Source organism: Homo sapiens, chromosome 10 (assembly GCF_000001405.40).
Source record: "Homo sapiens chromosome 10, GRCh38.p14 Primary Assembly".
NCBI lineage: Eukaryota > Metazoa > Chordata > Mammalia > Primates > Hominidae > Homo > Homo sapiens.
In genome coordinates this window covers 92,737,686-92,764,766 of record NC_000010.11, presented here as the reverse complement: position 1 = coordinate 92,764,766, position 27,081 = coordinate 92,737,686, and the positions used below count along the sequence as shown (strand labels likewise).

Below are 27,081 nucleotides of genomic sequence, written 5' to 3'. Positions count from 1 at the left end.
GTTGAACTCCTGACCTCAAATGATCCACCAGCCTCGGCCTCCCAAAGTTCCGGGATTACAGGCGTGAGCCACAGTGTCCGGCCAAGTAGGTTTATTAAACAACCTAAGGTATAATCATGTAATGAAACATTATACAATCCACTAAAGAGAATGAAGAGATATGTATGTATTGACAGAGGAAGATGTTTCATATATAGCATTAAGGGAAAAAAACAAACTGATGAAAAAGGTGTGAACAGTGTAACCTCTTTATGTGGGAGACAGCAGGAATAGCAACTCACACTACACTGTCAATAGTTGTCATCAGTGGTACGTGGGATTACAGAGTATTTTTCCTTTTCTTCATTATACTTTCCTGTAATGTTTGAATTTTTTAAATAATGAGCATGGACCTTAAAAACATTATGCTAAGAGAAAGAATCCAGACACAAAATGTCACATACTGTATGATTCCATTTATATAAAATATCCAGAATCGGCAAATACCCAGAAAGGGAAAGCAGATTTGGAGTTATCAGGAGCTGGGGGTGAGCGGGAATGGGGAATGACTACTGAATGAGTATAGGGCAATGAAAATGTTTGGGGACTAGATAAAGTTGATGGCTCCACAACACTGCCAACCACTAAATGCCACTGGACTGTACATTTTTAAATGGTTAATTTTATGGTATGTGAATTTCACCTCAATTTTAAAAAATTCTTTCCTGAAGCAAGAAAATCCCAGGACCACATATACTCTTCTGTGGGGTATGGGCAAATTGCTTATCTTTGCTACATCAGTTAGTTCATCTGCAGCTGGTCTCTAAAATACCTTCGGGCTCTGATGCTATGATTCTGGGCACATTCAACTATAATTCTAGACACATTCATCCCTTTGTCATTTAGGCTAAGATCACAGAAGCTTTTTTTTTTTTTTGGCAGATATATCACACTGATGACGTAATATTAAGAGGGAAGAAGAGGTAAACCATCTTTTTCAAAGATCGTAAATGTATGGCCTCATCCAAGCCTAATAATGAATGGCAAGTGACTAGAGAAAGAGAATAGGAGAAAGAAAATCAAAGGCATAAAGGCAATAATAATCAAAAGTAATACGTATTGAGTGACTTCCATGTCTGGAGTGTCTTCCAGACATTATTCTAGATGCCTAATAAATACTTATATTTTTAAAGGCAATCCTTAAAAGAGAAAATTAAAGCTCAAAAAGGGTAAGCAACTTGCCAAAGGACCCACAATCAATAACTAAAAAGCGTAGTGTTAAAATTCGGGCCGGGCACGGTGGCTCACACCTGTAATCCCAGCACTTTGGGAGGCCAAGGCAGGTAGATCACCTGAGGTCAGCAGTTAGAGACCAGCCTGACCGACATGGTGAAACCCTGTCTCTACTAAAAAATATATAAAAAATTAGCCAACCGTGGTGGTGCACGCCTGGTAATCCCAGCTACTCTGGAGGCTGAGGCAGGAGAATCTCTTGAACCCGGGAGGTGGAGGTTGCAGTGAGCCAAGATCACGCCACTGCACTCCAGCCTTGGCAACAGAGTGAGACTCCATCTAAAAAAAAAAAAAGAAGAAAGAAAGGAAAGAAGTTCAGGTATATTTATACTGTAGAGTTCATATTTTTCCACTTATCCATGCTGTTTTCCAAAAAGAAAAAGGAATCAAGGAAAACAACCTGGTGCTGAAGGCAAGGAAATACAAAAACAAACTGTAAAAAAAAAAAGTGAAAAAGGAACAACAAAAATCCAGGATTACCCTGTGCTTATAAGTGGCCCTCCCTGGGCACATTTTCATCCTGACCCTTGGGCATACCTTCTGTCTAGCTATGGTAAACTGTTCTTTCACTATAATCTGCTAAAAACAGTTCCACGGGCTTTAAATAATCTTACACCACTATTTCCATAAAGGAAACTAAGAATTATTACAGAGCTTGGATATTATTTTATCCTTTCATTTTAAAAATGAAAGGAGCTAAACAAAAAAGAAGTAATCTCCAAAGTAGATAAATGGAAAATAAAGAAAAATAATTACAGGACGGGCACCGTGGCTCACGCCTGTAATCCCAGAACTTTGGGAGGCCAAGGTGGGCGGATCACCTGAGGTCAGGAGTTTGAGACCAGCCTAGCCAACACGGCGAAACCCTGTCTCTACTAAAAATACAAAAATTAGCCAGGCCTGGTGGCCGGCACCTCTAATCCCAGCTACTCAAGAAGCTGAGGCAGGAGAATCACTTGAACCCAGGAGGCAGAGGTTGTAGTGAGCCAAGATGGTACCACTGCACTCCAGCATGGGCCACAGAGTAAGACTCCATCTCCCAAAAAAAAAAAAAAAAGAAAAGAAAGAAAAAAGAAAAGAAAAATAATTACAAAGAATAAGTGGTACTTAGAGCATAAAATATTTAAACAATGCAAGTGTACAAGTGGTTAAGATAAAGCAGCAAAGGTACCATCAAGCAATTTGAAGAAGTTGAAGCAGGAAGGGAGCAGTAGAGACCGACCGTGGTTTTTCCCAGCATGAGAAGCTACTTGATAAAGGAAATTTAAAGTTTTGGGCAGTGGGGGCAAAACAAGTCCCAGACCTTCATTTGGCAAGGACACCAGATCACTTGCTGGTGAACAGTTTCTTGGCACAAATCAGGGAACAGCCAGTGGACAGACTGGCTGGTGGATCTGGAGGGAATCATTCCAATGGCTTCATACAGAACCAAAGAAGAAAACGGAAAAGGTGAGGTGGTCAATGGCTTGGGAATGGCAGATTTGTCATTTAGCCAGAAGGAAAATGCCTTAGAAGTTAAGTAGACACTAAAAACTTTCTCTAAGTGAACCTGTTTTCAAATCAAACTCAAGTTAGGAAGGAAAGGCTCAGCTAGGAGGAATAAAAAGCACAAAAAGCATGCACAGAGCCAAAGAGCAAAAAAGACCACTGCTTGCACAAGGATTTCACTGTCTGAAGCAGCCCAGTCAAGGGGGTGAGCATATTCCAAATCGAAACCATGCGGCTACTCATCAAGTTAGCTGCCTGCCGCAGGCATCTTTCCATCCAAATTGGAAAGGAAAAAGTAAAAATGTCTCTGTTCAGAGTATGACTATGTACGCAGAAAAGTCTAAGGAATCTACACACACAAAAAGCTACTAAGACAAACAGCAGGATACAAAGTCAACACACAAAAATCAATTCTATTTCTAGATGCTAGCAACAAGAAATTGGAAAGGAAAAATTTTAAGTCCATATACAATAACACCCAGAAACGAAACAATTAGGAATACATCTGAAAAACAGCCGTCCAGGATTCTCTATTATTACAAATGAAAGCAAATACATTCCTCAGCCTAATAAACACCCAGCTTAGGTATCACTGTAACTGCTGTGTTCATCATGGGATAGGGAATAGGGGAAGGAGGGAAGTAGAGGGGAGTAACATTTACTTGAACTTTCATTTTGGAGTTGTAGAGAAAATAAGACTGGCTCAAGGGGCTGGGCGTGGTGGCTCATGCCTATAATCCCAGCACTTCAGGAGGCCAAGGCGGGTGGATCACCTGAGGTCAGGAATTCGAGACAAGCCTGGCCAACATAGCGAAACCCCGTCTCTACAAAAAATACAAAAATTAGCTGGGTGTGGTGGCAGGCGCCTGTAATCCCAGCTACTTGGGAGGCTGAGGCAGAAGAATTGCTTGAACCTGGGAGGCGGAGGTTGCAGTGAGCCGAGATCATGCCACTGCACTCCAGCCTGGATGACAGAGGAAAACTCCGTCTTAAAAAAAAAAAAAAAAAAAAAAAAAGCTCAAGGGAGAAGGATAAAGATCACCTAAATGATTCTGGAATGGACCTTCATGTCCATAGCCAAAATTGAGTGCCTTGGTACCCAGAAGATGCCAGCAAGACTCTGAAAGCAGAGAATGTGAACCTGAGGAGGTCTCTTAGTCTGATTAAAAGACATTTTGCTAGTTACAAAGGAGTAACTAAGATCCGTTTCTATTTCCTCTGACTGAGATTTGCTGACTCACAAGACATAAACAAAGCAAAAATACACTGTAACTGCCACCTCCCATTCTTACTCTGCCCAGTGAGAGAGAAGGGCACATCCTTGGCCCAGAAGAGATGAAGAGGGTTACAGTTTCTCATGTTTCCAGTCAGAACTCAGCATCTATCAAAAAAGGTAGATATTGTTACAGCCCTTAAGAAAACAATCTCCCTCATCTCATCTGGAGAAGTCTAGAAATTCCACCGGTGGACCCTGGCTGGCCTAACAGTGGCTACAAAGACCAGAGGCAATCCTTCTACCTTTGGCTGCCTGGAAAAGAAGGCCATGGAGCTATCCTACTTTTGGGAGCTGAGTGGTGGCATTATGACTTACTGAGAGTGGCCAGATATTATGGAGCTGGGATGCCCATGTTCAACTCATACATATAGCCTTTAAAGATACATCATTCAAAGCCAACAATCCTTATATTTTATTTTATTTTATTTTTTTGAGATGGAGTCTTGCTTTGTCACCCAGGCTGGAGTACAGTGGCACAATCTTGGCTTCCTGTAACCTCCATCTGCCGGGTTTAAGTGATTCTCCTCCCTCAACCGCCTGAGTAGCTGGGATTACAGACACATGCCATCACAGCTGGCTAATTTTTGTATTTTTATTAGAGATGGGGTTTCACTATGTTGATCAGGCTGGTCTCAAACTCCTGACCTCAAGTGATCCGCCTACCCCGGCCTCCCAGAATGCTGGGATTACAGGCATGAGCCACTGTGCCTGGCCCAATCCTTATATTTTAGGCACAGCATACAGCATTTGCCCCTAAATTCAAATTGTTGCATTACAATCAAAGTGCATGCGCCTGCTTCAACTAATTCAGGAGACGTGATAACTAAAGGGGAAATTTTTATTTAACATAGCAGATGCAGACCCAGGCACGGCGCCTCACACCTGTAATCCCAGCAATTTGAGAGGCCAAGGCAGGTGGATCACTTGAGTCCAGGAGTTCAAGACCAGCCTGGGCAACATAGCAAGACTCCTTCTCTATGAAAAATTAGCTGAGTGTGGTGGTGTGCCCCTGTGGTCCCAGCTACTTGGGAGGCTGAGGTGGGAGGATCACTAGAACCCAGGAGGTGGAAGTTGCAGTGAGCCAAGATCATGACACTGCACTCCAGCTTGGGCAACAGAGCAAGACCTTGTCTTAAAAAAAAAAAAAATAGCAGATGCATGGGCATCTTGGCTTAGAAAGGGACACGTGACCCAATCTTGGCCAATGAGACATGAGGGGCGGGGTGCTGATGTCTGCAAGGAAGCTGCTAGGAAGAATTTTACTCCATGATCAGAAGAGAAGCTTGAGAATTTGGGGGTTGGGGAATGGCTTTTTGGGTTTTGGAGGTGGTTGTTATGTGATGACTGGAACTATGGCAGCTGTCTTGAACCACAAGAGGACAAGTTGAGTAAAACATAGCAGAAAGAGTCTGTGTGCAAAATCAATAAGCCACTTCCCAGCCCTGGAATGCCCTACCTCCATCCAGACACTGTGTTTGGAATATAATAAGCAATAAATATAAGCCACCTTTTAGTAAGGATTCTGTATTTATAGGCCAAAACATCCTAACTGATGCTCAGGTCATTAAAAAGACAATTCAACTTTGTCCAACTTTTGTTCATTTGTCCAACTTTTCAATGGACAAACAATACAAACAGAAAACTCACAGAGGAGGAGATACAGGTAACTAAAACACATCTTTAAAAGATGTTCAGTTTTGTGAATAACAAAGGAAACACAAATGAAAACAAATTTTTTTGCCTATCAGCTCTATAAAATTTGCTAATACTAAGGCTGATACATGTTTGGGGAAACAAGACTTTTCTGACTTTTGGGTAGATTGCAAGCTGTTACACTGGTACTCAATTTAGCAATGCATGTTAAAATTTCAAGGGTATGTACCTTTAACCCAACAATTCTACAGAAATACACATAAGCACAAAAATGTTTGCACAAGGATGTTCAGTAGTACTGTACTGTTTGTTAAACCAAAAAAAAAAAAAAAGGCTGAAATAGTCCAAAGTCTACCAATAAGAAACTGAGTAAATAAATTATAGCACATTATTCTGTGGAATAGCCACAGCCGCTCAAAATAAGAAGGTAAATCTGTATATACTGACATTTAAATCTATACAACATATACTATGAAGGAAATCACGTAAGTTTCAGAAGAGTATGTGTACATCCCATTATCTTTTTCTTTTTTATGATGCTTTTATTGTACTGAAATAAATCTTAGAACAGCATACAACAAACAAATTATCATTAGTAGCCTTAATATGAAGGTCTGAAAATTTAAACTTTATACGTTTCTGTGCATAGGGGTGTGTGTATGTGTATGTGTAAAGAAAACACATTTATTGCTATTATAATTGGAAAAAAAGAAGTTTAATCTCATCAATCTAACAGAAAGTGCTGGTCTTCACTTAGCAGTCACAGTTATCCTAAGAGGGCTGTAGGCAAATGTCCCAATTCTATTCCTAGTCAAGGGGAAGCCCAGGATACCAGAGACACACAGGGAATCTGCGTCCTGCTTAGGATTTGAGGGTGAGGTGAAACTGACCCTGTGGCCATTAAGAGGAGTCTAAGAAACAGATCTGAGTGGCTGTGGCTATTCCACACTATCATGTGCTATTATACTAAGGGCAAAAGCTGAAAAGACAGCCTAAGAGCCCATGCCAGGGACAGAGAGGCAAAATCCAATGGATGGGAACCTGTGGCACCAACCCTAAGCCAGCAGCACTGAATGGAGGTGACTGGTGTCTCCAAAGTGATTCTCTAAACAGCTGAGGCAGAGTGTGGCTCACAGGACACCTGCCACCTCACGGTCTGGATCGGAGGAAGCTATGAAGATAGCAAGCTATCAGTGAATAACTGACGTATAAAGAAGCAATAAAGTCTCTCTGGCCAAGTGAGGCAAAAAAAAAACAGCAACAAACCCTTAGGCTGATTGCAATTTTCTATGCAAAATTGTTTCAGATTTTAAAAAAGAAAAAGAAAAACCATTTACCTTCTTAAAGCATACAATTTTTTAGGTGTAACTTAAATTTCTTTCCGGTCATAGGCCTGTGAAAGTTCGCATACTTCCTGATGCAAATCATTTTTTTAAGAGTGCCTCATTCTATTCCACTGGCTCAAAGAGATTGTACAGAATCAAGCTCTCTCCCTCTTCCTTTAACACCTGCTTTTGGTAAATGAGCATCATATGAGAGACTTGCCACAAAATGATACCCCAAACTCCTGAAGAATTGAGCTGAGAGGGAGAAGTCCGCTCCACCCTTTCTCTCTCCAGAAAACTGTCTGTCCAAAGCCTCTGGGGCAGCCAGCCATATCCTAGTGCAGCAGGGCTGGGTGAGAAGTCCTTTTTAGGCAAGGCATTAAAAAGAGTTGGCTGAGCAGATCTAAAAACCCTTGGTCAACAGGGCGGAGCCAGGCCTGAGGCAGAAGTATTACTTCACAGTTGCATTGGCTTCCTGTGGCCGCCAATAGAGGCAGCATCTGGCAGAAAGCCCACCACAGAGAAGAGGGAACTCCACGGAGAAGAAAATAGTAACGAGGCCCCAAAGGTGGAAGTACAGCCTGAGAAACTTTGCCCAGCCTGGGACTGGCTGCCCTGCCAGCTAGTCTTGCTGCTCTGCAGGGCCTGGGGCGTGGTATCCCCTCAGACTTTAAAATCCTGATATCCCTCCAATGGGGAGCACTTTTTATAAGCGCTCTTCATATATTCTTTAATCTGTGTCATTTATTCCATACCATGAAGCTATGAGGCAGGTGCTATTATTAACTTCATTTTTCAGATGGGAACACTGAAACGCAGAGGTGAAATAATTGCCCCAGGACACAGGGAAGTCAAGGTTTGAAACCCCCACATGGCCAGCCCTGAAGCCCAGACTACTGAGACCGCAGCAACTGAGTTCTCAAGTGAAAATCAAGAAGATGAGGTAAGGGTTAGTGCTACCTCCAACTGACACTGTGGATTGGGGCAATCTTGCCTCCTCCCTCATAGGTAATATTTTGGGTTTTCCTTCCTTGCACATAACCAGGCAAATGACTGCAATTCTAAAAAGATACAAATATAAAAACAAGAAGTGAAACAGTGCAGACACCTGAAACCCAAAACCCAACCATTTCTGAAAGCGCGAGCTAGCGGAGCTGCCGCACAACAGAAATAGTTGTGTCCTGTTTAGATAGGCTTTGTTTTGCTACATGGCTGCGTTTGCAGTGAAGTGATATCAAGTCCTGAGGGCCCACTCCTTTGATGAGTTAAACACACAAAGGCCTACATTTTGATGTAATCTGATAGCATGTAGCTAAGTCCTAGACAAACTGCAACTGTGAGGAAGTGATAAACCCAACTTCCTGCACAAAGCTGCCTGAGATAACACTTTCCATGGACTGGAAGGAAAAAAAAAGAGAGAGAGACATGATTGCTACAGAATTTTAAAGGAACTATTCCATTCTTAATAAATAACCTCTTTTTCATGTGGTCCCAGAAAAACGAAACAAAGCTGATTGTCATCCAATGACTCTGTCGTAATTCCACATATGATTTAATTCCGATTTTACTCAGGCAAAATCGGTCACTTGAGATTCACTTGCTTTTCTCTGTTAAGGATACTACAGTTCTAACTTGAAATCTCAGTTATCTTCTTAGCCAAGAGAATGTCTCTGAAATTTTACAAGAAGTCAGATTGAGAGAACTGAGGTTGCATTAACTGGCTCCTGGGGTTCTCACTGAGCCCCTAAAGAGGCCCATTCAGTTTGAATAAACACACATTGGAATCCTTGCCAACTTATCCAAGGGCCAATAGCTGTTTCTACAATACCAAAACAGGGTCAACGTGGCAATTTCACTAAGTGTTTATGTAGGTTGTGTCATATAGAAACAACCAATAAGAGCAGATTGTGCTGGGAATTTTCTGCGAATGCATTCATTCATTCATTTAGTAAATTTTTTTTTTTGTTTTTGAAATGAGTCTCACTTTATCACCCAGACTGGAGTACAGTGGTGCAGTCTCAGCTCACTGCAGCCTCCGCCTCCTGGGTTCAAGCTATGCTCCTCCATCTGCCTCCCAAGTAGCTGAGATTACAGGCGTCTGCCACCATGCCTGGCTAATTTTTGTATTTTTAGTAGAGACAGGGTTTCACCACGTTGGCCAGGCTGATCTCGAACTCTTGACCTCAAGTGATCTGCCTGCCTGGGCCTCCCAAAGTGCTGGGATTACAGGCGTGAGCCACCGCACCTGGCCAGTAAATATTGAGTGCTTACTACGTGCTAGGAAATGCAGTGGTAAACAAAAAAGAGATAGCCCCTGACCTCATGGACTTCCCAGTCTAGTTAGAGAAGCAGATATTAAACACGCAAATAATGTTAAGTGCTCTGAAGAGAAAGAATAGGGTGGTCCAATTTCCGTTTAGATGAGGTGGTCAGTGGAGGCCCAAATATTAATACCAGTGGAGGCCCAACTGATGATGTGGTATTCAGGCCTGAATCATCCAAACGACCAATGAATGAAGGAAGACAGCTCCAGTAGAGAAAACAGTCTATTCGCAAGTCCTGAGTTAGGAAAGAGTTTTGTGCCTTTGAGGAACTAAAGGAAAGCCTGTGTGTCCAAAATAAATTACATGAAGAGAGAGGATAGGATAGGAGGCTGGAAAGGAAGGCGGATCCAGAAAGTGCAGGGCCTGGTAGGCGTGAAGTGTGGCTTTAGACTGAGTGTGGTGGGGAAACATTGCACTAATACTGCTTGACAGGATGGGTGTGGTGGCTCACGCCTGTAATTCCAGCACTGTGGGAGGCCGAGGTGGGTGGATCATTTGAGATCAGGAGTTCGAGACCAGCCTGGCCAACATGGTGAAACCCTGTCTCTACTAAAAATACAAAAATTAGCCAAGTATGGTGGGACACGCCTGTAATCCCAGCTACTCAGGAGGCTGAGGCAGGAGAATCGCTTGAACCTGGGAGGCAGAGGTTGCAGTGAGCTGAGATCCCACCACTGCACTCCAGCCTGGGCAACAAAAGCAAGACTCTGTCTCAAAAAAAAAAAAAAAATGGCTGGGTGTGGTGGCTTACACCTGTAATCCCAGTACTTTGGGAGGCCGAGATGGGTGAATCATTTGAGGTCAGTAGTTCGAGATCAGCCTGGCCAACATAGAGAAACCCTGCCTCTACTAAAAATATAAAAATTGGCCAGGCGTGGTGGCAGGCCCCAGCTACTCGGGAGGCTGAGGCAGGAGAATTCCTTGAACCCGGGAGGCGGAGGCTGCAGTGAGCTGAGATCGTGCCACTGCACTCCAGCTTGGGCAACAGAGCGAGACTCCATCTTAATAAAAAAAAAAAAATGCTGTTGACCTCTCATCGTGTTCTGCTCCTAGATTGTTTTCTAGGCAAGGATCTCAAAAAGAATGCAGCAGTCCTAAAGGCCTTTGAGAAAAATTGTGAGATGAAATTCCTCCAGGTAATTTGGGACATCAAAGATATTCCCTTAAATTCAGTCAGTTCAGCCAAACCACACACCAGGATGGGGAAAAAAATCAGGACAATAAAAAAAATTAATCACTTGGATCACTTGTCATTTTACCATTTAAATATGATTCTAGAGTCACATGGTTCTTACATAGAGATAGGAAGTTAGCAGTCATGTGGACCAATTCTTTCTCATTTTACAAGGGAAGTAATTGAGGCCCAGAAAGCACATGGCCTTATCTCCTGGCTCCAGGCAATCTCCACCATATAAAGCTGCCTCTGAAGAACAGAAGTCAGGGCTGCCACACTTTCTTTCCCTTTCTCCTTCTCTGAGTGGGACCTAGAATTCAGAATCTGTTTCTAGATTGCTAAGTGATCTGTGGCATGCTACTTACCTCCAAGGCTTACTCTCTCTCTCTGATTCTTTATAATAATAATAATAATTATTATTATTATTATTATTTGTCTGGCGATGGGGGTCTCATTATGTTGACCAGGCTGGTCTCAAACTTCTGGCCTCAAGCAGTCCTCCTGCCTGGTCTGTGTATTGAGCTTCCACACTGGACTTCAGAGATTCCTTTGCTGAAGTTATTGGGATGGGAAAATCAACAGCTCAGTGTTCAGAATTGCACCAGCCAATCACTGAGGACAGAGGGCCTGGAAACCTGGGATTGGAAAGTGCAAAACTAATTTCAGGTTCTCCCCACTTTGAGTCTTCTCAATGTGTTGGTTTCATTCCACAATCAAATGTCCTAAAGGGCTTTAAGGTACAGGTTAATAAAATTTCTGTCCCCGCCTGTCATGTGTATTTCCAAGTCCTAACCCTTGTATCTCTGAGAACCTACTCTATGTAAGCCCCACTCATTACCCGGCCCTCAACTCTGGGGATTTTGAAGTGCTGGGTATGATTAGAAGTTTGCTTTTCATTCTTAAGCTCCTGATAAAAGATCCTACACTCCTTCAAGTGAAGGTGAAGAGCTTGCTGGTCTGAGATTGAATTGAGTCATTTAAAAATGTTGACACCTCCAGAACAAATCAGACTTTGCCTGTGCTATTCTGGTAGCTTTCCTCTTGGGGTTGACTGGACTCCTGCTTTATAGTCGCTGTCTGATCTTGGTAGGATTTCATTTAGTTGACCTCAGGCAAAATCCTTTACCTCTCTAGCCTCCACTCCCCTTTGGATGATGCCTTAGGCCCCGGCATTTCCAACATTCTACATGTTCAAGACAAATCAGGCCAGGCGCGGTGGCTCATGCCTGTAATCCCAGCACTTTGGGAGGCCGAGGCGGGCGGATCACAAGGTCAGGAGATCGAGACCATCCTGGCTAACATGGTGAAACCCCGTCTCTACTAAAAAATGCAAAAAAAAATTAGCCGGGCGTGGTGGCAGGCGCCTGTAGTCCCAGCTACTCGGGAGGCTGAGGCAGGAGAATGGCGTGAACCCGGGAGGCAGAGCTTGCAGTGAGCAGAGATCGCACCACTGTACTCCAGCCTGGGCAACACAGCAAGACTCCGTCTCAAAAAAAAAAAAAAAGACAAATCAAAAGGAGTTTCGAATCACAACAGACAGAGTCCTTAATACCTCACTTCCATTTTTTTTTTTCTTTTGAGATGGAGTCTCACTCTGTCATCCAGGCTGGAGTGCAGTGGCACGATCTGGGCTCACTGCAACCTCCACCTCCCAGGTTCAAGTGATTCTCCTGCCGCCTCAGCCTCCTGAGCAGCTGGGATTACAGGTGTGTGCCACCACACCCAGCTAATTTTTTTTACTATTAGTACAGGCGGGGTTTCATCATATTGGCCAGGCTGGTCTCGAACTCCTGACCTCAGGTGATCTGCCCGCTCCTGGCCTCCCAAAGTGCTGGGATTATCTTTATTTTTCACTTTTTATTTTTTATAGAGATGGGGTCTCGCTCTGTCATCCGGGCTGGAGTGCCATGGGCAATCATAGTTCTCCACAGCCTCGAACTTCCGGGTGATCCTCCTGCCTCAGCCCCCCAAGTAGCTGGGACTATTGGCATGTGCCACCAAGCCTGGCTAATTTTTAAATTTTTTATATAAAAAATTTGCTGTAGGGTCTTGCTATGTTGCCCAGACTGATCTCAAACTCCTGGCCTCAAGCAATCCTCCTACCTCGGCCTCCCAAAGTGTACAGATTACAGGTACTGGAAAATACCTCACTTTCTAGAATGGAAGAAAGAAAGGGAGGGAGACAGAGAGAGGAAAGAAAGTGGGGGAAGCTAGGGAGAGAGGGAGGGAAGGGAAAAAGAAGGAAGAGAGGGAAGAAGTGATCGGTGAACAAACTAAGGGAGGAGAAAGGGGGAGAAATCTGTGCTTTCCAAACCTCTCTGCAGCCTTCATACAAATATATCAGGCTTTTGTTGTGAATAAGTTAATGCTTATTTAGCTTTCAAAATACAGCTCAGTGGAGTATACCTAGGAGCCCTTTGCAGCCTTTGAATCTGGAAGGGAGGAAAGACATGTACGTCAGCAACTTCTGTTTAAGAAAGCAAATGAAACATCCAGAGAAAAATTGTTAGAGAGGACTGACAATGTTTTTATTTTACATTTGAAATACTTTCTATTTCATTGATTTTGTGAACTGTTGAAATTTATGAAAGGCATTTAGCCCAGTGCCTAGTACTTAGCAAGTGCTCAGTAAATGTTGACTATAATTTTTCCTAAAGCGGACTTTTGGTTCAGGCACCAGAAAGTGTGTATTCTAGACCTCTGAATAACCATGTGACCTTAAGTAAGTCTCTCTGCCTCTCTGGGTTTGTTTTCTAATTTGTGAGGCTGAACTGAACTAGAGGGTGAATAAGAGCTTTTTCAGCTGGTATTCCTCAATTCCATTTCTCCTACGTGGTGCCTCCATCGTATAATTCTCACATCGTATAATAAATCACTTACATAACTTGGAAGAACACTTCTTCCTTCTCAAAATTGGTGGGGTTTGGAGCATTAAAATTAGAAAGAAGTAAATGGGATTAACGTTCGCCTAAAGGACCAATTGTGAGGGCAAATTTTGAGCAACTAATTAAAATGTAAATCCTCGTAAATTTCAACATAGCGAGTCTGATTCTAACACTGCATTGTGGTATTTGGAGGACTGTCAGCGTTTCCCCAAGCTCTGCTGGCTCTTAACCCAAATCACATTGTCCACTGAAGACTTAGTACTTCCTATAACTGGGTTTCGAACATCCTTGGGAGAGTGTCATTTCCCTAAGGGCTTTTCTTCCAGTTAAATTGTTTTTGCTTTCCCAAACTGTGTCAACACATCTGTTCTTACCTATCTTAAAATCTTCATCCACCCAACAATTCTCCAAAAGGAAGAGAGAAAAAAAAAAGCTATTGTGCAATGAAAAAAAATTTGGCAAATCTCATGAAAACACATTCTTAAAACATCTCTCATTTCTGAGAAACAAAGTAAAATGTATGAATTTTTGTTGTTGTTGTTGTTTGTTTCATGACTAACAAAATGAATCATTGCTACCAATGTAGTATTCTGACCATATAAAACAAGTATGAAGGAATGTTCAATTCGAAAAATAAAAATAGGCTGGGCATAGTGGCTGACACCTCTCATCCCAGCACTTTGGGAGGCTGAGGCAGGCGGATCACCTGAGGTCAGAAGTTCAAGACCAGCCTGGCCAACATGGTGAAACCCCATCTCTACAAAAATACAAAAATTACCCAGGCATGGTAGTGGGTGCCTGTAATCCCAGCTACTTGGAGGCTGATGTGGGAGAATCACAGAGGTTGCAGTGAGCCTAGATCGCGACATTGCACTCCAGCCTGGACAACAGAGCGAGACTCCATCTCAAAAAAAAAAAAAGAGAAAAAGAGACGTGATGCTATTGAAGGATGTGGTGACTGGAAGGGGTGGGAGTCATAAACTGAAGCAAGCCTCCAGGGTGATCTCCCACCCTGGGGGAGCAAGGTGGGTGATGGGGCCAGTCTCTGAGACCAGAAACTCAGGAGAAGAAACATCTTTAAGGAAAAGATAAATTCAATCTGGAACATTACACAAAGGACTTGGCCAGGCACAGTGCCTCATTCCTATAATCCCAGCACTTTGGAAGGCTGAGGTAGGATGATTGCTTGAGCCCAGGAGATCAAGACTAGCCTGGACCACATAGAGAGACCCCCGTCTCTACAAAAATAAGAAAATCAGCTGGGCATGGTGGCACATGCCTGTAGTCCTAGCTACTTAGGAGGCTGAGGCAGGAGGATGGCTTGAGCTCAGGAATTTGAGGCTGCTGTGAACCATTATCTTACCACTGCACTCCAACCTGGGCAACAGAGTGAGATCCTGACTCAAAAATAAATAAATAAAGGGACCCATAAATACCCAAATATGACTGCTGGGTAATTGGATCTGTCTCTCCAGAACTCAGAGGGAGAGAACTGGGTTTGAGAAACACCCTGGGGTATCATCATTGTAAGGTGGTATGGTCATTAAAGCCATGAGTTTGAATAAAGTTTCTCGGGGGAGGAGGCTAAGAAAGTGGCCAAGGGAAAGCGATGTTTAAAGAGTGCTATAGATTGAATTGTGTTCCCCTAAATGTTATGTGTTGAAGTGCTAACCCCCAGCGCCTCAGAATGGGAGCTTACTTGGACATAGAGTCAATGTAGTTGTAATTAGCTAAGATGAGTGCTATGCTTTAAATGTTGGTCCCGTCCAAAACGCACAGTGAAACTTAATCCCCATGGTGGCAGTATTGAAAGACGAGGGCTTTAAAAGACGATTGGGATTGGGTCATGAGGGCTCTGCCCTCCTGAAGGGACACTCCACGCCCTCACCATGTGATACCCTGCGCTGCCTCAGGACTCTGCAGAGTCCCCACCAGCAAGAAGGACTCATCAGATGTGGCCCCTTGACCCTGCATTTCTCAGCATCTAGAACTGTAGGAAATAAATTCCTTTTCTTTATAAATTACCCAGTTTCGGCCAGGCATAGTGGCTCACACCTACAATCCCAGCACTTTGGGAGACTGAGGCGGGTGGATCACCTGAGGTCAGGAGTTCGACACCAGCCTGACCAACATGGCAAAACCCCATCTCTACTAAAAATACAAAAATTACCCGGGTGTGGTGGTGTGTGCCTGTAATCTCAGCTACTCAGGAGGCTGAGACAGGAGAATTGCTTGAACCTGGGAGGCAGAGGTTGCAGTGAGCCGAGATTGTGTCACTGTACTCAAGCCTGGGCAACAGAGTGAGACTCCTTCTCAAAATAAATAAATAAGTAAATACATTACCCAGTTTCAAGTATTCTGTTATAAGCAACAGAATGAAGTTATGGTAGAGGAGGGGAGCTAATATGATATGACCGGTGTCCTTACAAAAAGGAAAAATTTGAACATAGAGGCATGTAACAGGGAGAACACCATGAGAAGATGAAGGCACAAATCAGGGTGATGCTTTACAAGCCAAGGAACTAGTCCTGCCAACATATTAATCTCCAAATTGCAAGCTCCAGGACTATGAAACAATACATTTTTGTTGCTGAAGACACACAGTTTGTAGTACTTTGTTATAAGGAAAAGCCCACAAAGAATATCAAGATAATCAGGTCCAAGAAAGGAGGAAAGCCAGAAAAGCATGGCATCATCAAGCCGAGAACAGGAAAGAGTCTCAAAGGGAGGTCATAGTCAACAAGATCAAGTGTTCCCAAGAGGTTGAGGAGGACAGAAAAGTCAGCCTTGGTAAAGCAATGGAGAGGTCACTGGTGACCTTGGGAAGGGCAGTTACAGTGAATTAAAGAGGTGGAGGACAGATTGAAGTGAGGAAGAAAAATAAACTTTCCAGACATTTAAGGAAGGAAAGAAGATAGGAAGGAAGTTGAAGAAAGATCATTGGGTCATGTAGTTTTTCCTTTTTTGTTGTTTTTTGTTTGTTTGTTTTGTTTTTTGTTTTTAAGATGGAGTTTCACTCTTGTTGCCCAGGCTGGTGTGCAATGGCACTATCTCAGCTCACTGCAACCTCCGCCTCCCAGGTTCAAGCAATTCTCCTGCCTCAGCCTCCCCAGTCGCTGGGATTACAGGCATGTGTCACCACACCCAGCTAATTTTGTATTTTTAGTAGAGATGGGGTTTCTCCATGTTGGTCAGGCTGGTCTTGAACTCCTGACCTCAGGTGATCCACCTGCCTCAGCCTCCCAAAGTGCTGGAATTACAGGCGTGAGCCACCATGCCTGGCCTATTTCTTCCTTTAATGGGAAAAATTTGGTATAGCTAATGGATGAGGATAACTAGCCAGTGGAGGGAGAAAGTGTGAAGAAGCATAGAGAAAGAAATAGATGGGGGGGAAGGTGAGGAGGCAGAGGGAGAAGAGGGGGAAGGGGAAAGTAGAGGTGGAAAGGGAAGGAGAGGGGAAGCAGAGAAGAGGCTGAGAACCACAGAGAAGCCATTCTGGTGGCTGGGCTGACAGTGGTAGTGGTGACAGCCACACCCGTTTCCAGGCAACAGTGGCAACAAGGCCAAGGGCAGGGTCTGGGTTCTATGAGGGCAAACAGCAGAGGCATCCAGCGATCAATGGTGGCAGCAGCAGGCTGGATTTATGGCAGGATTTTGACTATGGCCCTGGCTACTGCCCTTATTTCTATCTATTCTCTGAGCTGCCTTTCTAGCCTCTTTGGGGATTCTGGAAGCTGCCCACTGGCTTTTTGATCCATTCTTTTTTCTATTTCAATCAACTTGAGTCAGTTTCTGTTGCTTACAGCTGAGAACTTTACCTGATTCAATCACGTACAATGCTGAGCATTTTAGAAGGAGTTTTAAAAATCCTCCCAGCAAATCTAAGAAGTAGACTTATATTATCATCTCCATCTTCCCAATGAGGAAGCTGAGAGATGAAGAGCTTAGGTAATATGTCCAACATCACAAAGCTAGTAGGTAGCACAGCCAGGCTCATACCCAGGCCTATTTGCCTCCAAAGCACTTAACCACCGCAATCTCCTGCCCCTTCCTTGGGCGAGCTCTGTCACCTCCTGCAAATGGCGTTAGCGCACAGTGAAACCGCCTCCCTGTGTCCCAGCACTGGGGAAACACAGTTCTGACTGCTCTGAGGAGCTTGTTTGGTGAGCCCATTGCGCTGTTCCTCTCCGTTCCTGGCGAGCCTTGACACCAGTACCCTCATCTACAATGACACCCAAACTTCCACCTTGGCCTACAGTATCATGTAAGCAATTTGGAAATTCCTTCCAAAATAAGTTTCTAAAGCCAAGATCCCCATCCAGCAGACAAGGTTCTAGTTCTCAAAGCCTGGGCTAGAAGATCTTAAAGACTTGCCCACTAGGTCTTCCGATGGATACTATGACCACATGGCCTCATTCCTCCTGTGTCATTCATGTCCTCCGGAATGCTAAGATAAAGCCAGGAGAGCAAGAGGCTCACTGGGGAGAGGGAGACACCCGTGGAAGATAAAGGAGGAGACAGCAGAACTGGGAAGGGAGAGCCTAGGATCACAAGACAGATGTGACAGAATCTCAGTCAACTCCACAGGGAGACTTGGAGCAAAGATTGCTCATTTGAGAAGTCCCACATTAGACAGAAATAGCTAGGCCTGCACTCACCATGCTCTGTCATTGGCTAGGGGCTGACCAGGAAGAGCACAGCTCCAGCTTGAAAACTATGGTGGATTCCAAAGGTGCTGTAGCCAGGTACAGTGGCACACACCTGTAATCCCAGCTACTTGAGAGGCTGAGGCAGGAGGATCACTTGAGGCTAGGAGTTTGAGGCTGTGGTGTGCTATGATCACGCCTGTGAATAGCCACTGCATTCTAGCCTGGGCAACATAGCAGGACCTCATCTCTAACAACAACAACAAAATGGTGCTGGAGCTCATTACACTCCTCCCCACTGAATGTCAAGTCCATGGCCACAGCACCTAACACCCACCTTCTTTTCTCTTGGAATACTTGGGATGTAAAGAACTGTATTAAAGAACCCCATTCTGCTCCCGCTCCACCATGGTTATATTCCACAGCGCCTGCTCTGACCTGAATCTATTTGATTTTTTTTTTTTTTTTTTTTTTTGAGACTAAATCTTGCTCTGTTGCCCAGGCTGGAGTGCAATGGCATGATGTCGGCTCACTGCAACCTCCAACTCCCGGGTTCAAGCAATTCTCTTGTCTCAGCCTCCCGAGTAGCTGGGATTACAGGCGCATGCCACCACTCCTGGCCAATTTTGTATTTTTAGTAGAGATGGCGTTTCACCATGTTGGCCAGGCTGGTCTCAAACTCCTGATCTCAAGTGATCCGCCTGCCTCAGCCTCCCAAAGTGCTGGGATTACAGGCGTGAGCCACCGCACCTTGCCCCATTTGATCTGATAGACACAAATGATCCCAAGTCTTCAGAGATATATTAAATATAAAAGATTTGTTCCTCAAAATAATAGTATCAATAATTTTGTTAGAAGCCCCTATTATAAATATTTAATAAAAATTCTAATTCGCTAGCAGAACTCAACTCTTACAAACCTCTGAGACCTCCTCTCTCTTCGGCTAGTTGTATGCCAACATCTAAAGGGATCTCAGCAGCCTATATTTGTGTTCTTGGCCTAGCGACTTCCCAAAATGGCCCCACTATTTCCTGATAGAACAACACATGGGAAGACACTCAAGCTGAATGAAGCCTGAAATGGCCATTCCTTGGTGTGACTGCCTGCCTTATAGTGACTGCCATGTTTCAGTGCCAGTGAATCAAGTTTAGGAGAGAGAACAACTGTTCCTTTTGCAAACCATTATTAAGCCCCTGCTATATGTCAGGCACCATAATAGGTGCTAAAGTTACGGTGGCTGTGGTGGTTTTAAAATACATCTGCAGCCAGGCACGGTGGCTCACATCTGTAATCCCAACACTTTGGGAGGCAGAGGCAGGAGGATCACTTGAGCCCAGGAATTCTAGACCAGCCTGGGCAACACAGTAAGACCCTGTCTCTACAAAAAATAAAAAAGTAGCTAGGCATGGTGGCACACACCTGTAGTTCCAGCTACTTGGGAAGCTGAGGTGGGAGGAATCCTTGAGCCTAGGAGGTTGAGGCTCACTGAGCTGTGTTTGCCCCACTGCACTCCAGCCTGGGCAAAACAGTGAAGCCTTGTCTCAAAAAAATAAAAAATACATCTACAAATTATTTTACAAGTTTCCCTTCAACGATGGAGCCTAATTCCTCTTTCCCTTGAGTATGGGACAGACATAATGACTTACTTCTAACAAATAGAATGTGGCAATAGTGATGATGTATGACCTCTGAGACTAGGTTATAAAAGGCGGTGTGTGTCGTCCTCCTTGCTCTCTCTTGGATCAATTGTTCTGGGGGAAACCAACTACCATATCGTGAGGACACTCAAGCAGCCCTATGGAAAGGTCCATGTCATAAGGAACTGAAGCCTCCTGCCAACAGCCATGTGAGTGTGCCATCTTGGAAGTGGATCCTCCAGCTGCATTCAAGCTTTCAGATGACTACAGCCCAACCAACATCTTGATTGCAACTTCATAAGAGACCCCAAACCACAGCCATCCAGACAAGCTACTTCCAAATCCCTAACTCACAGAAACTGTGAGATCATAAATGCCTACTGTTTTAAGCCACCAAGTTTTGGGGTAATTTGTTATACAGCAATAGACACAGCGGGAGACAAGACAAACACAGTTCCTGTCCTCATTCTTGCAGCAGATAATAACCTGTTATTAAACAAATGTGGAAACAATGTGAGTCAAGTTGTGCCCAGCAAATCTGTGCAAGTGCTAGACTTTCCCACCAACAGGAAATGTGATCAGGAGATTTGTTAGATTATTGCATTGATTGTGACTAGAATATCAGTTTGGTGTCACCAAAAGGTACAGCCTGTCTTTATGCTATGATCAGCAGAGAGACTGCAGTAAATGGTGGTGGGGTCTGATATAAGATCCAGTGGATCTGGGTCAGAATGGGTGCCATGGCAACCCAAACCTCCTGAAACCAGGTGAAGGGAAAGCAGCAGCCCAGGCCCTTACAGAGAAAGCTGGTCTGCAAAGAGTACAGGAGAGCTGAGAGAGGCAAATACAAGAGACCATGTGTGTGTCTCCAGGGAAACAGAGACAAACCACTGTCCATTTCCTGTGGGCTGACAGGACTTCCAGGGTTGTATTCTATGAGGTTTCCTAAACATATATATATTTTTTTCAATCAATCCCCTTTTTACTTGAGCTAACCAGCTGGGTTCAGTCATTACAGTAGAACAATCTCTGAGGTGCTCCACTCCAGCCTCGTAATGGGTCTCTCACCTCCAGTATCTGTCCTCTTCAGTGCACCCCACATGGGAATCCAGGAGTCTTCTTCAATCACTGCTTTAGTCAAGGCACCCTCCCCCTACTTCTCCTACAAACCTTAGTTAGGTCCCCACTCCTATAGGTCAAGCACCTCAGCCAGGTATTTACAGCCCTCCTCAACCTGGCTCCAACTCACCTTTTAAATGATTCCCCACGTATACCCTATCTCCAGATAAGCTAAACTCCCTGAAGTTTGCCATGGGTCTTGGTTTTTCAGCCTCATACCCTTCATCAAGTCACTCTTTCCACTTGGAAGCCCATCGCTACCCTCATCCACCTCACTTTATTCTAGCTATACAGCAAAGATCGTCTTAAGGCTGGGTGCAGTTGCTCATGCCTGTAACCCCAGCACTTTGGGAGGCCAAGGCAAGAGGATCACCTGAGTCAGGAGTTCAAGACCCTATCTCTACAATTTTCCCGGTTTGGTGGCACGCACCTGTAGTCCTAGCTACCTGGGAGGCTGAGGCAGGAAGATTTCTTGAGCCTAGGAGCTCAAGATTGCAGTGAGCCATGATCATGCCACTGTACTGCAGCCTGGGCGATAGAGTGAGACCCTGCCCCACCCCCACCAAAAAAAAAGATGGTCTTAAATGTGTCTCCATGAAGTTGTTGCTAATCCCTTCAGCTGGTATAATGTTTTCCTCCTCCGAATGCATCGTTTATGGTATTGGTAGAGTGTAAGTCCTTTTCTGACTATACTGTAATTACATATGTGCATAGCTCATCACCTCTACACAGCCATAAGCTTCTTGAGGGTGAAAACAAGGTTATTCATCTTGGTATCAGCTTGGTCCTAAGCCCGCTTCTCTGTTCACTCTCTTCTCTCCTTAAATGATCTCATGATTTATGACTTCATCCACTCCATCTAAATGCTGATGCTTCCAGCCCAGACCTCTCGGCTAAGCACCAGATCCTACTCACACCACCTACTCCCATAGCCCCGTGGGTGTCTCCAGGCTCCTCGTGCTCGGTGTGTTCAGTGGGAACTCACCGTGATGCCCCCCACCCAACTCAGGCCTCCTCCAGGTTTCCTTTCTTGGTAAATGCCACCCCCATCCCCTACTGGACATCCAGTTTTGCAAGCCAGAATCGAGGAGTCCTCTTGGAACTCCTCCACCCAGCAACATCTATGTCTACTCCATCACCAGGCCCTGTAAGTTTTACATTTTAAATGGTATTCAAATCCCATAACTTTTCTCCACCTCCACTACACCCCTTAATCCAAGCTGTCCTCATCTCTCACCTTGCCCACATCCTCTGCTGGTATCAAAATAGGCTCCCCACGTCACCTGCAGCCTCACATCTCCAGTCCTAGTTCATATGATTTGAATGTCACTTGTTTTGTTAAACTCAAATCTGGCCAAGTCACGCTACAGGTTTAGAATCTTCTGTGACTTCCCATTGATCTAGGATAAAGACCCAAATCCTTAATATAAACTGACCACAGGGCCCAGCATCATCTGGCCCCTGTTTATGTCTCCAGCCTAATTTTGTGCTACTTTCTTTTTTACTCTCAATATTTCAGTCACAGGGCACTACTTTCAGTTCCTCAAAAGCACTGTGCTCTCTACAGCCCTGGGGCCTTCATGCATGCTGCTGCTTCTCACTCTGGCCACCACCTTTGCCTAATAAACTCCTGTTCATCCTTCTAGTCTCAGAACAGATCTCAGCTCCTCAGAGAAGCCTCCCTGACCAGATCTGGTCACTCAATTACATATCCTCATTGTTCTCTGTATTTTCTTTTATTGTATTTAGATTGTTCCATAATTATAGATTTGTGTAATTATTTGAAGGTAGATGTGGCTATTTTGTTTCAGCACATAGATATAGAAAATTATATTAATGACCAGCTACATTTGGCTGCCAATATTGTCAAGATATGTCAAGTTTTTCCGGAGGCTTATAATTTTCACATTTTCCTCTATTTTCTAGTTGCATCAGTAAAAAAAAAAAAAAAAAATTTGAGACAGAGTCTCACTCTGTCTCACCCAGGCTGGAGTGCAGTGGTGCAATGTTGACTCACTGTAGCCTTCACCTCCCGGGTTCAAGCGATTCTCCTGTCTCAGCCCCCTGAGTAGCTGGGATTACAGGCACGTGCCACCATACCCAGCTAATTTCATATTTTTAGTAGAGATAGGGATTGATTCTTTCTTTCTTTCCTTCTTTCTTTCTTTCTCTCTCTTTCTTTCTTTCTTTCTTTTGAGATGGAGTTTCACTCTGTCACCCAGGCTGGAGTGCAGTGGTGCAATCTCGGCTCACTGCAACCTCTGCCTCCTGGGTTCAAGCGATTCTCCTGCCTCAGCCTCCCAAGTAGCTGGGATTACAGGTGCCTGCCACAATGCCAGCTAATTTTTTGTATTTTTAGTAGAGACAGGGTTTCACCATGTTGGCCAGGCTGATCTTGAACTCCTGACCTCAAGTCATCCACCTGCCTCAGCCTCCCAAAATGCTGGGATTACAGGTGTGAGCCACTGCGCCCGGCCTGCATCAGTTAAAATTTTACTTAGCTGCAAGTCACTGAACATAGTGCTTCACCAAATAGGGTTTTTTCTCTTTTTCTCACATTATAGAAGTCTTGAGGTAGGGCTGAGGCAGCTGCTTACAGAAAACAAGGTCCCAGCCTCCTTGTAACTTTTCTCCGCTACTCTTAATGCCTGACTTTCTTCCTCACAATGGAAAGCTGGGCTGCTGCCCCTCCAGCATGGTGTTCATACTCTACACAGAAAGAAGGGGAGGGGTCAAGGGCAAAACATGTGTACTGATTGGACTTGTCCCTTTTTCTCAGGAAAACAATAGGGCTTTCCTGAAAGCCCCACAGAGGAAGCTTCTACGGATATTTTTTGGCCAGACTTGGGTTGTAGACACTTCAGCTTCAAGGGGCTCTGGGGAGGTATGTGATCTTCCATGGGCAACCTGCTGCCCTAAGCCCAGCTGGAGCCCTGTTAGTGAGGAACAAGGAGAGATTGGAGACCTGGAGGCCAACCAGGGTATCTGCCGCTCTACTGCCACAAACAAGTAGATCAGCTGGGTTCCAAGGCTCTGACTCAGTCTCAGAAGCCTATATGAAAGTAATCCAGATGAGTAAACTTTTTGAGTTTGAAATTTTGAGCAGAGAGACTCAAGCTCTTTAAAGAGAGAGAGAGAGAGAGAGGAGAGGAGAGGACAAGACAGAAGAGGAGAGGAGAGAGAGACTGGGCACGGTGGCTCACATCTGTAATCCCAGCATTTTGGGAGGCTGAGGTAGGTGGATCACTTGAGGTCAGAAGTTCAAGACCAGCCTGGCCAACATGGTGAAACCCCGTTTCTACTGAAAAAAAAAAAAAAAGCAGGACATGGTGGTGGGTGCCTGTAATCCCAGCTACTTGGGAGGCTGAGGTAGGAGAATCGCTTGAACCCGCGAGGCGGAGGTTGCAGTGAGCCAAGATCATCCCACTGCACTCCAGCCTGGGCAACAGAGCGAGACTCCATCTAAAAAATAATAATAATAAAATGGTATTCATGCCTGTGGTAAGAAAGAAAGATTGGGCTCTGCATGTATAGTGCTAAGCCATGCAAGTGAAAAGTGAAGAAGTCCAACAAATACATGGTTGATTTATCTATATAATACTAAATAAATCTGCTTAAACCCAATATATGAAAGCATCCTTCCTCCTTGAAATATTCTTCTCACTGTACACTTCATTTTAAAGATCTACTTTTTTTTTTTTTTTGAGACAGAGTCTTGCTTTTTCACCCAGACTGGAGTGCAGTGGCATGATCACAGCTCAATGCAGCCTCAACCTCCCAGGTTCACGTGATCTCCCCACCTCAGCCTCCCGAGTAGCTGGGATTACAGGTGTGCGCCACTATGCCAAGCTAATTTTTTTTGTGTGTGTATTTTTAGTAGAGATGGAGTTGTGCCATGTCACAAGGCTGGTCTCAGATTCCTGGGCTCAAGAGATCCTCCTGCCTCAACCTCCCAAAATGCTGGGATTACGGGCATGAGCCACTGTACCTGGCCTAAAGATCAACTTTCAAGAAGTTAATTCATCATTAAAATTTGAGCCTACAATTAAGGCATGACATTACTAGACATTGCCCCCTCAGTCACACGGCTTCCTCCATACCCTTCATGCAGGCATGTGTTCAGTCTCTAGGAAGAGAGCAAGTGAGATGCTCTATCCATTCATCAAATGAAAAATGAAAAATAAGCACACCGCCAGTTCAGCCATACCTAAGAACAGGAAAGTCAGACGGCGAAGGAAGAATTAAGAATGCAAGGGATTCATAGAGAGATTGAGCCTATATTAGAGAGAGTTTAGAATGAGGGAAGCAAAGTGATTTGTGTGGGGAATGGCGGGGAGAGTTTTCTTCAACAAGGAGATGACAAGCTGGATAACTCAGGGTCAAGGCCACATGACCTATGGAGCACAGGCAACAAGATAGCAAGCAGGACATGCCCACATGGTGAGAATTTCTTTTTCAATTAGTACTACTGCCTTTAGTTAGTTCAAGTCAACAAGCTTTTTGTTTGTTTGTTTTTGTTTTTGTTTTTTGAGACATAGTCTCACTCTGTCTCCCAGGTTGGAGTGCAGCAATCACAGCTCACTGCAGCCTCGACCTCCTGGGCTCAAGCGATGCTCCCACCTGAGCCTCCTGAGCAGCTAGGACCCCAGGTGTGCACCAACATGCCCAGCTAATTTTTTGTTTATTTTTGTAGAGATGGGGTTTGCCATGTTGCCCAGGCTGGTCTCGAACTCCTGGACTCAAGCAACTTGCCTACCTTGACCTCCCAAAGTGCTGGGATTACAGGTTTGCACCACCACACCCAGCCAACAAGCATTTCTCAGCCATCATCTGTGTGCCAGAGGCTGGTACTGTCCTCTCTCTGCCTTGCAAGAAAGGAGAATAAATATTATCACTAGATGGAACTTTGGAGGACTCAACATTCATTTTAGAGATAAGGATATTAAATGACCCCATAGTCACCCCAGTTAATTAACAACAGAAAGCCATGACAAGATCCAGGGTCTTTCAGGCCTTGAATATTCACCCAAACAAAACCCTGAGGACCTGGATGCAGCCCATCTCTTCAACAGGGCAATTCCTCCGTTTCAGAGGAGATGGAGTTTTGCTGTTGCTGCTGTTGCTTTGTTTGTTTTTTTACAACTGACTTACCATGTACAAAGTCATGCCATTCAAAAATTATCCCTGATTCTCAAACTTACCCTGTTATTTTTCTCTGCTGTCATCAAGCATATATCAGCTGAAACCTGGCTGAAAATGCCTCCCATGAAGCCTGGTTCAACCTACCCAATATTCATTACTTCACTCTGCTCCCCAGCCCTTTTTCCCACATACATCATCCTCTGCCTTCCTTCCCCACTCTTGGGCACCTCCATGCACACCCACCAGATTGATCTGCACTTTTTAATTGATTGTTTCAAGGTGTTCTGATGTCATGTCAGAGGCTAGGTCTCCCAACTACCTTTGTAAAGGCAGGAAAACAAAGGCAATACTACACATCGGCTAATGGTTTGGAATGAGAAGACCTGGATTGCAATTTACTGTTTTGTTTTGATTTTTTTTTAAGACGGGGTTGACCAGGCATGGTGGCTCACACCTGTGATCCCAGATGTTAAACAGTAAATGGGCCAGGGGCGGTGGCTCACGCCTATAATCCCAGCACTTTGGGAGGCTGAGGTGGGCGGATCACTTGAGGTCAGGAGTTTGAGACCAATCTGCCAATATGGTGAAACCTCGTCTCTACTGAAAAAAAGACAAAAATTAGCCAGGCATGGTGGTAGGCACCTGTAATCCCAGCTACTCAGGAGGCTGAAGCAGAAGAATTGCTTGAACCTGGGAGGTGGAGGTTGTAGGTTGTAGTAAGCTGAGATCATGCCACTGCACTCCAGTCTGGGTGACAGAGAGAGACTCTGTCTCAAAAAAAAAAAAAAAAAAAAAAAAAAGATGGGATCTCACTCTGTCACCCAGGCTGGAGTACAGTGGTGCAATCTCAGCTCATTGCAACCTCCAGCTTCCAGTCTCAAGCAATCCTCCCACCTCAGCCTCCTGAGTAGCTGGGACTATAGTCATGCACCACCACACCTGGCTAATTTTTGTATTTTTGGTAGATACAGGGTTTCACTATGTTGGCCAGGGTGGTCTCGAACTCCTGAGTTCAAGTGATCCACCCACCGTGGCCTCTCAAAGTGCTGGGATTATAGGCGTGAGCCACCGCCCCGGCCCATTTACTGTTTAACATCATTGAGCCTCAGGTTCCTCACGTGTATAATGAGGATAACAATA

At 44.5% G+C, this 27,081-nt stretch overlaps 7 annotated features.

The window, feature by feature from the left end:
* Window positions 6,535-10,528: an enhancer, noted in NCBI's record as "VISTA enhancer hs1866". NCBI's record gives its function as "enhancer in: blood vessels[5/5]" and the evidence as "EXISTENCE:transgenic organism evidence [ECO:0001131][PMID:17130149]".
* Window positions 7,228-7,720: a transcriptional cis regulatory region, noted in NCBI's record as "candidate enhancer chr10.3365 targeted for multiplex CRISPR interference". NCBI's record gives its function as "positively regulates HHEX gene expression with high confidence in K562 cells {active_cell/tissue: K562}" and the evidence as "EXISTENCE:mutant phenotype evidence [ECO:0000015][PMID:30612741]".
* Window positions 7,544-7,743: an enhancer, noted in NCBI's record as "active region_3779". NCBI's record gives its function as "activates an Ori minimal core promoter by ATAC-STARR-seq in GM12878 lymphoblastoid cells {active_cell/tissue: GM12878}" and the evidence as "EXISTENCE:reporter gene assay evidence [ECO:0000049][PMID:35858748]".
* Window positions 7,883-8,564: a transcriptional cis regulatory region, noted in NCBI's record as "candidate enhancer chr10.3364 targeted for multiplex CRISPR interference". NCBI's record gives its function as "positively regulates HHEX gene expression with high confidence in K562 cells {active_cell/tissue: K562}" and the evidence as "EXISTENCE:mutant phenotype evidence [ECO:0000015][PMID:30612741]".
* Window positions 8,285-8,429: an enhancer, noted in NCBI's record as "145 bp enhancer 133 fragment used in the MPRA reporter construct; PK_construct_4067". NCBI's record gives its function as "activates an SV40 promoter by MPRA in K562 cells {active_cell/tissue: K562}" and the evidence as "EXISTENCE:reporter gene assay evidence [ECO:0000049][PMID:23512712]".
* Window positions 8,349-8,366: a transcriptional cis regulatory region, noted in NCBI's record as "GATA motif; MPRA enhancer 133 activity is reduced when this motif is scrambled". NCBI's record gives its function as "necessary for full MPRA enhancer 133 activity {active_cell/tissue: K562}" and the evidence as "EXISTENCE:site-directed mutagenesis evidence [ECO:0005528][PMID:23512712]".
* Window positions 21,960-22,299: an enhancer, noted in NCBI's record as "active region_3778". NCBI's record gives its function as "activates an Ori minimal core promoter by ATAC-STARR-seq in GM12878 lymphoblastoid cells {active_cell/tissue: GM12878}" and the evidence as "EXISTENCE:reporter gene assay evidence [ECO:0000049][PMID:35858748]".